Source organism: Homo sapiens, chromosome 2 (assembly GCF_000001405.40).
Source record: "Homo sapiens chromosome 2, GRCh38.p14 Primary Assembly".
NCBI classification, from domain to species: domain Eukaryota; kingdom Metazoa; phylum Chordata; class Mammalia; order Primates; family Hominidae; genus Homo; species Homo sapiens.
In genome coordinates, this window is record NC_000002.12 from 182655245 (window position 1) to 182667655 (window position 12411).

At 36.3% G+C, this 12411-nt stretch overlaps 1 protein-coding gene and 1 long non-coding RNA gene across 2 annotated transcripts in view; both read right to left on the minus strand.

Moving 5' to 3' along the window:
- Positions 1–12411, minus strand: part of PDE1A (phosphodiesterase 1A) — a 576757-nt gene that overhangs the window by 515204 nt on the left and 49142 nt on the right. The gene's annotated exons all lie outside the window — the stretch shown is intronic.
- LOC101929976 (uncharacterized) overlaps positions 11306–12411 on the minus strand; it is a 48061-nt gene continuing 46955 nt past the window's right edge. Inside the window, exon 7 of the long non-coding RNA XR_427200.3 lies at positions 11306–11336. This is a non-coding gene — a long non-coding RNA (uncharacterized LOC101929976). The remainder of the gene's footprint in view (positions 11337–12411) is intronic.

Here is a 12411-nt window from a genome sequence, read left to right on the forward strand (position 1 = left end):
ACTTCCCTGAGCTTCTAACTCCATTCCTCAATACTCTGTCTAAAGGTTCTGGCTTCTCTAACTAGCTTCAAAGAGCCATCCTAGCAGGGCATTATGATGGACTCCAGGTGTTTTCACTAGGATGTTAAATCTTGAGTCATGGGAAGGTGAACCCAAGTCAATAAACTCTCCACTTACCAGCCTTATATTCTGCACCAAGCCCCTGGCTAATGGCCACAAGATCTATTTCCACACCTGCATACCTAGTTCCTGTTGGTACAGCCTATCCAGATCCTGCCATCCTTTAAAGAGTAAACTATTCCTCCCAGACTTTTCTCCTCAAGGAATGCTCAGATTTGACCCTTATTTCTAGCCTCTAGACAATGAGAGAAGGAAGGAAAACATGCATTATTTTGCAAGGCATTTGCCTGTGTTGAGGTCTTTCAGGAGAGTTTTCTTTTTCCCCGGCAAGGAGAGGATACTCTCCTCTAGCCAGTAGGTGGGGGTCACCTCTGACAGCACAGGAGAATAAAGGGTTCAAAATTCTCTGGCACATCCACCAAATGTCTTCATTCCAGTTCTCAAGTTTCCGTGATCTGAGCCCTGAATCTAATTTAGGAAACCTGCCAAGGCTTCTCACTCCATCTCCTTTGCAACTTGACCACTGTCACAATTAAATTCCAGTCCCAATCTATTCTCTGGCTGCAGGAGATAAAGATCACTTCAAAAACTGCCTTGAAGGCCTGCTGGGTTTCACAGTGTCCTGATTGATGGTTGGCTGACCTGACCCTGTGGTTGTCCTTCATCAAGCCTTTTAAAGCAGTTAGCAAAGGCCAGACAATTATACAGTCATTATTTCCCCCACATCATTCTATTACTGTAGCTGCCAGTATTTTACCTTCTACCTGTTGCAAGTGCAATCCACTACAGGTAAGATTCTTAGCCATCATGATACCACATTACCCCAGGAGTTCTCATCATTCCACTGAGCACCAACACATCAGTTTTCTTCCAAAAGACCTCTGAGACACATGAAGTACAGATTTAGAAATGAAGTATAGATCTATATTTGATAGTAATGAAAATAACATTCATTACAATCAAAACCTCTAAAAATCTGAGTGGTTTGACTCTATCTTACTTTTGTCAAGCAGCCAACTTGTGATTTAGCTATAATGCACATTCTATGATAATTTCACTTTGAAACTATAAAAATGGAAAGATGGGAAGAGCAAAAGAAAATCATCACTTTCATCACTTAGCTATACTGGATGAGGTATCAGGAATATGGACTGATGACCAATAAAGTAAGACAGACTCTACTCTGAGCCCTGGGATGAGATTTTAAGTTCTGCAGAAAATGGAAACGAATCTTTAAAATGTCCTTTTACTTAGTCTTCAATGAGTAGCTGTACCTAAAACAAGAAAAGCCTATTTGCAGAAATTCAAATAATCATTAAACTGTATTAGGCATACCATATTTGTATTCCTTCATTTATTTTTATTTTATTTGAAAACTTTCCAATAGTTCAAAACTACATGCTGGTATTATCTCATTTAATTTTTAAGTATTCATACAATAGATCCTGAAAACACATACTGAAATAGAGCTTGGCCAGACTTAGGATGGTGTGATTAGTCATTTTCTTCTTTTCTCTTATCTATGTTTTCTAAATTCCTTACAGTAAAAATGTATTATATGCAGAATAAAACACAACTGGCCAGGTGCGGTGGCTCATGCCTGTAATCCCAGCACTTTGGGAGGCCAAGGTGGGCAGATCACAAGGTCAAGAAATCAAGACCATCCTAGCCAACATGGTGAAACCCCCTCTCTACTAAAAATGCAAAAATTAGCTTGGCTTGGTGGTGCATGCCTATAGTCCCAGCTACTTGCGAGGCTGAGGCAGGAGAATCGCTTGAACCCGGGAGGTGGAGGTTGCAGTGAGCCAAGGTCGCGCCACTGCACTCCAGCCTGGTGACAGATCGAGACTCCGTCTCAAAAAAAACCCAAAACAAACAACACAACTATATTACGTTAAATTTTTTCAACCGCATTTAGAATATCAAATAGTTGCTTGAGCCAAGTAATGTGTCAGACATACATTTTATTGTCCTACCTCTACCAAATATTCCAACTTAGTCCTTATATTTAACACTATTACAAATATAAATCTCCAGTGAAGATGATGTCAGCCCTAACAACAAAAGTGATTAAGGATAAACAAATATATAAAAAATACTTGCCAGACCTTAGCAAAATCCTAAGTGGGCAGGATTTATTTTATATTGCTACTCTACCTTCTCTTTCTATACCTTTCACTAATCCATGCCCATCTTTTCATCATGTATCCAACGGTCTTAAGCTGTAGAGCTTCTGTGACATCAGAGAAAAATAACAAAAACACCTGATAAATTTATGTTTCCATGGGCATATGCTATTTCTTCTAGGAATATTTACATTGTAAAAATAAATATTAATAATGAAAAATAGTGAAATTTTAGACATTAGTAGGAGGTATATTTTTTGCTTCCAATTCTCCTAAAATCAACCATGTGGGAAGCCCCAGGTGGCTAAAAACATCTCTAAGTTTAGCTGTCCCTTTGTAGATGAGAGATCATCAGCAATAATGTGTTATAATGGCTTCTGTATCAGATAGAGACCATTTACTGTGTAACTTTGGAAAACTTATTTAAGACTACTCAGCCTGAGGTTTTGTAGCTATAAAATGGGAATAATATCTACCCTGCAAGGCAGTTGTGAGAAGAACAGTAATGACATAATGTGTGTATCGCATAGTACCTAGCACATAAACAGCTTCTCAGTAAAAAAAAAAAAAAAAAAAAAAAAACAAAAAAACTTTTCTTCCTGCCTTTCCTCCTGTGTTAGTTTCCTAGGGCTGCCATAACAAAGTACCACAAACTACATGGCTTAAAATATCAGAAAAATATTCTCCCATTTCTAGAGGCTAGACGTCCAAAGTCAAAGAATCAGCAAGGCTGGTTTCCTTTGAAGGCTCTACATATGAATCTCTTCCATGATTTTCTCCTAGATTCTGGTGATCACTGGCAGTCCCTGATGTTCCTTGCCTTGCAATTGTAACACTCCAATCTCTGTCCCAGCCATCATATGGTATTTTTCTGTGTGCACCTTTGCCCTCATATGGCCTTATTAGAAGGACACTGGTCATTATATTTAGAGCCTACTCCAATCTTAACCTCATCTTAATTTGATTATATGTGCGAAGATGCTGTTTCAAAACTAAGGTCACATTCACAAGTTCCAGAGGTTTGCACTTCAACGTATCTTTTTAAGTGATGCAGTTCTACCCACAGCATCGTGATTCTATAATGACATAGCATAGGTGGATTCCACAGTGTAACTGAGAGACTAACCCAAGTAAAGATGATTGAAGGAGTGGTACTCTATTAATAAGCGTAACAAGAACATGGTAGAAGCAGCTCAATAAGTGAGAAATGTTTGTCATTTTGTGCTGAATATAGCAATCATGTACACAAATAGTATAAGTTCTCTCAGTCATTCAACATTTTATCAGTTCAAGGGCAAAATTCTTTTGGATATGAGATGTCCAGAAGTTTCTCTTTGTATGCATACAAGTGCACTTTACTGCCATTTCCCACTCCTTCTTAAATTCCATTACTTTCAAACACTGGCAAATCTTTTTTCCCATTTTGAAAAAGGGTGAAATTTCTGCAAATTCTCACTGCAAGCCATCATACTATTGACAGGGACTGGAACACGGAATTGAAAGAAAAACTCATTTCTTACTACACTCTTTTTACCTATTTGAATTTATAATCTGCCTATATTACCTATTTAAAATAATTAAATTTTAAAAGTTACCTGATATCGACCCACTTATACCATCCATCTCTCTATTTGTAAGTTCCATCTACTTAACAAAAGCCTCTTGCCAAGCAGAATGTCTTCATCAATCTCCAAACCTCATGAATATTTCTATTCTGAATATTTTTTCATTCTTTCTTAGGAAATTTGTCTCTAGACAATGAAATGTTGTTAAGGAATAGTCTAAGTGTGAAAGGCTGAGAAATCCTTGAATAAATCTGTTAACTGGACTATTTTACATTTGTTCCCTTTATAAATAAGATTTACAGCCTCATAAAAATACAAGGAAAACATGAAGCAGACAAGAATCATATGCCAAACATAAATGATAGGGCATAATAGAAATAAAACCAATTCATAAAGAGTTGTACATAAATCTTGAGGTAAATGAAATAGTCATTCTTTGAAATGAGTTCAGAGTTGCACAAAATAAGATGATATCCCTCCAATTCTATAAAGTTATGTCTCTATTATTTTATGAAAACATGAGATATATTTATAAACTCTTTCTACTCATATGGTAGTGAAAAGGTTATATGAAAGAGCTTGAACTCAAAATTCCTTGGTTGGATTCCCAGTTCTACCCAATTCTACCTGCATAATTTGAGGAATCACCAACCTTGGTATTCCTTTCCTCACTTACAACATCGCTGCTAAGCATTATGAGATACTTATGTAGCATGATGCCTTGTAAACTATAAATGTAGGTATTACTAATAAACAGAAATGTAAGTATTAATAATAAAAACCACATCTCAAAGGTAAAACAAAATACTATGAAAATGTTTTTTCTGTCACTTTAGGATTCTCTAATGCTGTCATAATTTTGTAAACACTCTAACATATTCAAACTGCAAAAGAATAAAATTATACCAGAAATTATTGCTGACTAACAGCAAGACATTAGTAAAACTTTACAATAAGTTACCAAATATATCATGGGCATGGCTGGATGTGTGTGTATACATGTGGCTTTGAATATAACTGAAACATCAGCTGTAAACCAGTGAAACTCAGAAGCTCTTGGATTAAAATTCATAAATTATCCAGCTACTGAAGGGCACATGAAAAAGATGGTCCCCAGCCTTATCTAAGAAATGAGGCTGAAACCATACTATCAATGTAAGGCATTTGGCAGCTTAAGGTATATGCAAATATTTAGAAAAGAGAAAGATTCATTGACACCTTAAGATGATGCCATGAAACAAGAAAGAAAATGCTTCTCTGAGAGAGTGGAAGAAAGAGGAGAGTGACACTCTGCATATATGCAGGATCTGTGATAATTGGAATCCTAAAATGATCCCATTGCCCCTCATCCTGTATAACCCTATTCCCTTGTGTGTGGGGAGAACCTATGAATATAAGATTTCACTCCAGTGATTGTTACATTGCATGACAAAAGAGATTTTGCAGCTATAATCAAGGTCCCAAATCTGTTAACTGAGTAAATCAAAAGGTAGGTTACCTTAGTTGTTCTGACCTAATCAGGTGATCCCTTCAAAGCAAGAATTTTCTCTGGTTGGCTTAAGAGAAGGAAAGCAAATACTGTAGCCATGTTGCAAGCTGTCTACAGAGAGGGGTGGCCTTCAATTGCTTAGAGAGGTGCCCAGACAACAGCTAGAAAGAAAACATGGACATCGGTCCTGGAGCTGCAAGAAATTAAAATCTGCCAACAACCTGAACGAACTTGTAAAAGGTCCCTAAACCCAGATAAGAACCACAGCGAAGCTGGCACTGGGATTGCGGCCCTTAAGACTCAAACAGAGAGTTCAGCTAACCCGTACCCAGACTCCTCGCCCTGGAAACCCTGGGATAATAAATTAGCAGTGTTATAAGCTTCTCACTTTGTGATAATTTGTTACATAGCAATAGAAAACTAAGACAGTAGCAGAACTGTGGAATCTGACTTCCCTCTCCAAATGCCTAGTATTGGTTTTTGTTTTTGAAGAAGGCATACACAAAAACATAGCTTCTGAATGACATGTTTGACATTTGAATGTTTACGCCTAGTGAGTTGACATTAACAGATGTTTAAAAACGACAGTTTTGTCATAAATCAATTCTCCTCAGTTGCAGAGTAACTTCTTCCTGTTTATCACAGAGATTAAAAAGATTCTTAAATATTCAAGTTGACATATCCTCTGGATAATTTAAGATGCTACACCAGATTGCAAACTTTAATCACTGTGCATTTAGGTGTATAATTTTCTGAGATTTTTATGCCTGACAGAAATGCTCTTACCTAATATATGCCCATATACTAGAAAGAATAATAGAATTTAAATCAATAATTATTCAGTGGGCACCTTCTATATATCAGATACCAGGTTAGGTGCTAGAATCAAAGACAAATTCTCAACCACTGATTACAAGCAAAGACTACAGTTAATGGTGAACTGTTAGAAACATTGCCATTAAAAGCAGAAACAGAGTAACCCCCATCACTACACTATTTGATGTGGTTCTAGAGGTTGTCCTAACCATGAAGCTAAACAAGAAAAAATAAAAATATGGAACGGCTGGAAACGAGGGAAATAAAAATTGACATTATTATCAGACAATGTGACCACCTACAAAATAATCCTACAAGAAACTATAGACAAATTATTACAGTTAATTGGATGTAATGGTTGGATGTAATGTACCAAATATATTCCTAAACTAGCAATAAATAGCTGTATAATATAATTTTAAGAAATATCCTTTGTAATAATAGCAACGAAAATGTCAGGTACCTAGAAATAAATGTAGCAAAGGATATGTGAGACATTGTAAGACTTTACGGAATTACATTAAAGGAGACCAATTCACATAAAGACACACATTCTGCCCAAATTAATCTTTAAAACTGATACAGTTTCAACTAAAAATCCAAAGAAAATTTTACTAATTCGACCAGCTGATTCTAAAATTTATATGAAAAAAATCAAAGGGCCACTAATAGCCAAAACCATTTTGAAAAAAACTACAAAAAATATGATAGGGGAGAGGGGGCTTACCCTACCTAACATGAAGACTTATAATACAGTTTAAATGGTATACTATGACCTCAGAAGTAGATAAATAGAACAGAAGAAAGAACCAAAAACAGGTATGTATTGAGAAACTTGATATTGCACCATAAAGAGAAGTTGAAATATCCAAAAAAAAGTTTGTTAATAACTGGTTTTCCAGTTATCTCAAGATAACTAAAAAACCTACATATTAAAAGGAAATTTTTATATAGGAGAGCTTAAAAATTGAAAAAAAAAAGAAAAAAAAAACAAAAAAAAACTTTTTCCCGAATAGCCACGACAATCCTAAGCAAAAGGAACAAAGCTGGAGGCATCACACTACCCTGCTTCAAACTATTCTACAGGGCTACAGTAACCAAAACAGCACAGTACTGGTACAAAAACAGACACATAGACCAATGAAACAGAATAGAGAGCGCAGAAATAAGCCTGCACACCTACAACTGTCTGATCTTTGACAAAGTTGACAAAAACAAGCAGTGGGGAAAGGACTCCCTATTCGATAATTGGTGCTGGAATAACTGGCCAGCTATATGCAGGAGATTGAAACTGGACCCTTCCTTACATCATATACAAAAATCAACTCAAGATGGATTAAAGGCCTAAATGTAAAACTCTAAAAGCCCTGGAAGACAACCTAGGCAATACCATTCTGGACATAGAAACAGTCAAAGATTTCATGATGAAGATACCAAAGCAACTGCAACAAAAGCAAAAATTGACAAATAGGATCTAATTAAAATTAAGAGTTTCTGCACAGCAAAATAAATTATCATCAAAGTAAACGGACAACCTAGAGAATGGGAGAAAAATTTTGCAAACTATGCATCTGACAGAGGTCTAATATCCAGCAACTATAAGGAACTGAAACAAATTGACAAGAGAAAAACACACCACCCCATTAAAAAGTGGACAAAAGACATAAACAAACACTTCTCAAATGAAGACATTTATGCAGCCAATGACCATATGAAAAAAAGGTCAACATTACCGATCAATAGAGAAATGCAAATCAAAATCACAATGAAATACCATCTAACACCAGTTAGAATGGCTATTACTAAAAAGCCAAAAAATAATAGACACTGGCAAGGTTGCAGAGAAAAAGGAACACTTATACATTGTTGGTGGGAGTGTAATTTAGTTCAATCATTGTTGATAGCAGTGTGGCAATTCCTCAAAGACAGAAAAACCATTCAAGCCAGCAATTCCATTACTGGGTATATACCCAAAGGAATATAAATAGTTCTATCATAAAGACACATTCATGCAATTGTTCATTGCAGCACTATTAATAATAGCAAAGACATGGAAACAACCTTAATGCCTATCTATGGTAAACTGGATAAGAAAATGTGGTACATATATACTACAGAATACTATGCAGTCATAAAAATGAATTAGATCATGTCCTTTGCAGGAACATGCATGGAGCTGGAGGCCATTATCCTTAGCATACTAATGCAGGAACAGAAAACCAAATACCTCATGTTCTCACTTATAAGTGGGAGCTAAATGTTGAGAACACACGGACACATAGAAGGGAACAACAGACACTGGGGCCTACTGGAGAGAGGAAAGTGGGAGGAGGGAGAGAATCAGGAAAAATAACTAATGAGTACCAGGCTTAGTACGTGAGTGACAAAATAATCTGTACAACAAACCCGCATGACACAAGTTTACCTGTATAACAAACCTTCACATGTACCCCTGAACTTAAAAGTTAAAAAAAAAAAGAAAAACGGTCTGCAAGATCTCCTAAAATAAACCATAAGAAAGTAACTTATAAAAATTTAAAATTTTTGAACATTAAGAGTCCCCATTTTCTAAAGTGAAAAGATCAGACATAGACTAAGAAAACTTATCTGAAACCCTTTTATATAGCAAATGATTAATATCCCAAATGTATTTTTTAAAAAACTTTGGTAAGAAAAACAGTCCAAAAGAATAATGGGCAAAAATTGGAAAAAGTAGTTGACTTTACTAGTAATGAAGGAAACACTAATGAAAGCTACAGTGAGAATTTTTACACATCCATCCAATAAATAAAAATTTAAAAATCAATTAATAGTAAACCAGTGTATAGTTTGGTGCAAATCACTTTGGAGAACAATTTGAGAACATCTGATAAAGTCAAAGATGCACAGATCCAATAACTTGCAGTTCTGCTGCCAAAGAAATTTTTGCAAATATGACCATGGATTATTATACAAACATTACTTGCAAAACATTTGGATACAATATAAATGCCCATCAATGACAGAATAGGTATGTAATTTGTGGTATATTTATACTTTGGAAAACCACATGGCTATAAAAAGAGTAACACAGAACCACATGTACTAAAATAGGAAAGCCTCACAGTGGCAGAAGGATAACTAAAGTACTAATATTTATTTGAAGTTTTGAAACTCCACTATCTTGTTATGGGATGAATACAAATGTGATTAAAATAATGACAACGCATTTGGCTTAAAATGCTAAGTACCAAATACAGAATAGTGGTTCCTTTGGTTTGAAGAGGAAGGAAGGAGGGAATGTGATTGAGTTTAACATTTAAGAGAAAGACACCATTGCCCATCTAAATAACCAGGTGTCTGGCAGAAAGAAATATCCCTACCCTAAAATGAGTTCTAATTAATGAATGCACTTGGATCCATGGAACTTCTGGATCAAAAATATCAAAGGCTTCATGATACCAAGAAAGTGCTAGCCAAAGTGATTTCTGTTTTGAAATTATTCTAAAGAGATACGTAAGTCAAATAATAGTATCTCTTTTTCATTCTCGGGCTTAAAACAATACATATTACAATAATGGCATGTGGCACAATTATTTTTCTCAAAAAAAGTAAATTCAAAATACACAATAGTTGTTGTCAAGGGTAGTTGTTAGGACATCTTCTTTTAAAGTTTATAAACAATGTTCTTGAAAATTTTTAATCAAATCAAACTTTGTTTTCTCCAAACGGTTTTGCTATGAAAAATTATAAACATATAGACAATTGATAAAATACTACAATAAACTAGATTTTTTGTTTCACTTTTAACTTTTCAGTAAAAAAGACTTCAGAAGTTTTCTTGTCATAAAAAATGTACATGCTTACAAAAACAAAAATTGACAATGGGTCCTAATTAAACTAAAGAGCTTCTGCAGAGCAAAAGAAACTATCATCATAGTGAACAGGCAACCTACAGAATGGAAGAAAATTTTTGGAATCTGACAAAGTCCTAATATTCAGAAGCTACAAGGAATTTAAACAAATTTACAGGAAAAAAAGAAATAACCCCATCAAAAAGTGGACAAAGGACATGAACAGACCCTTCTCAGAAGACATTTATGTGGCCAACAACCATATGAAAAAAAATTTGACATCACTGATCATTAGAGAAATGCAAATCAAAACCACAATGAGATACCATCTCACAGCAGTCAGAATGGCAATTATTAAAAAGTCAGGAAACAACAGATGCTTGTGAGGCTGTGGAGAAATAGGAATGCTTTTACACTGTTGGTGGGAATGTAAATTAGTTCAACTATTGTGTAAGACAGCGTGACGATTCCTCAAAGATCTAGAACCAGAAATATCATTTGACCCAGCAATTCCATTACTGGGCATATATCCAAAGGAATATAAATCACTCCATTATAAAGATACATGCACACATATGTTTATTGCAGCACTATTTACAATAGCAAAGACATGGAATCAACCCAAACGCCCATTAATGATAGACTGGATAAAGAAAGTGTGGTACATATACACCATAGAATACTATGCAGCCATAAAAAGGAATGAAATCATGTCTTTTGCAGGAACATGGATAGAGCTGGAAGTCATCATTCTCAGCAAACCAACACAGGAACAGAAAAGGAAACACCCCATGTTCTCACTTATAAATAGGAGCTGAACAATAAGAACGCATGGACACAGGGAGGTGAACAACATACACTGAGGCCTGTCAGCAGGGAGGGAGAGCATCAGGATAAATAGCTAATGCATGCAAGGCTTAATTCCTAGGTGATGGGTTGATAGGTGCAGCAAACCACCATGTCACATGCTTACCTAAGTAACAAACCTGCACATCCTGCACATGTAACCCAGAACTTAAAATTAAAATTAAATTTTAAAAAATCACCCCTCAAAAAATGTACATGCTTAAATTAATAAACACACATAAATTTGGCTTAACGAATTAAAGATTACTACATGTTTTAAAAAATCATAGACAAGGGGCTGGGTGTGGTGGCTCACGTCTGTAATCCCAGCACTTTGGGAGGCCAAGGTGGGTGGATTACCTGAGATCAGGAGTTCGAGACCAGCCTGACCAACATGGTGAAACCCCATCAATACAAAATTAGCCGGGTGTGGTGGCGCATGCCTGTAATCCCAGCTACTCAGGAGGCTGATGCAGGAGAATCGCTTGAACCCGGGAGGCAGAGGTTGCAGTGAGCTGAGATCATGCCATTGCACTCCAGCCTAGGAAACAACAGTAAAACTCTGTCTCAAAAAAAAAAAAAAATTATAGACAATAACATACTCAAAAGGGTAAAGCTTGACAAGGTAGCAAGAAACAGAGATTTTGCCAATTGCCAAGTATGTCTATTGCAACTCTACATTCAGGAACCAGGGAAGAAATTACCAGCTAACTTCTACCTCTATCTAAGCCTTTGTCTATCACCTGGCCACCATAAGCTCCCATTTGACTGGTACAGTATAGCAGGTTTGGAGTGCCCAGGAATAGCATCAGTTCATATTAAGTGTCTAGGAATATCTGAATAGTCTGGGTATTTCCTTTTTCCCAGTACACAGTCACGGTCTAGGTACTTCCTTTTTCCCAGTGCACAGTCCTGCTAGTAAGTCACCCTTTGGGAAAGAATCAGGGGAAATTTTACATTCTATATTTGGTTCTGCTGTAGCATCCTTCTTCAAAAGAACCTGGCCTCCCCTTGAATCAGGGGGTTCTAACCTGTGAACTGGTTTAGCTCTAAAAAGTAGGTAGAAATCCATCACTCTCCACTAGGTGGCTCAAGTCAGGTTTTTAGCCACCAGACCTGCAGTTTCTGTTTTATAAATTAAGCAGCTTTTTAGTAGGCTGCTCATCATTTTCATTTCTGGTAACCACATGGTCAATTAGTCACTACCAAAAATTCCTGCAGGTCTAAATAGTCTGATTACCTTTACAGTAATCAGAATCTGCCAGCCTTTATAACAAATATGGCTGCTTTATCTTTGGCAGTTAAGTATTGTCCATTGGCCTCTGCTCTTTCAGGGTCCCATCATCCCTATTGGAATCAGGGAACCCATCACAATGGTGGTATTTCCCACCATCATATGTGGCTTACATATGAGAGCCACTACAGTGCTCTTCAGAGTGTGGGTGTTCCCCTCACTAATGTGTTTCTCACTGCTTTCAAGGGAGTATCCTCTGAGTCTCCTCAGACAATACAGTTGAGGGTAGAGGGACACAGCACCCATATAACAAATCATTCCTGTTCGAAGTCTTTGGAGTCCTAAACTTTTAGATTCCTTTCTGCACATGTGAAGTCAACAA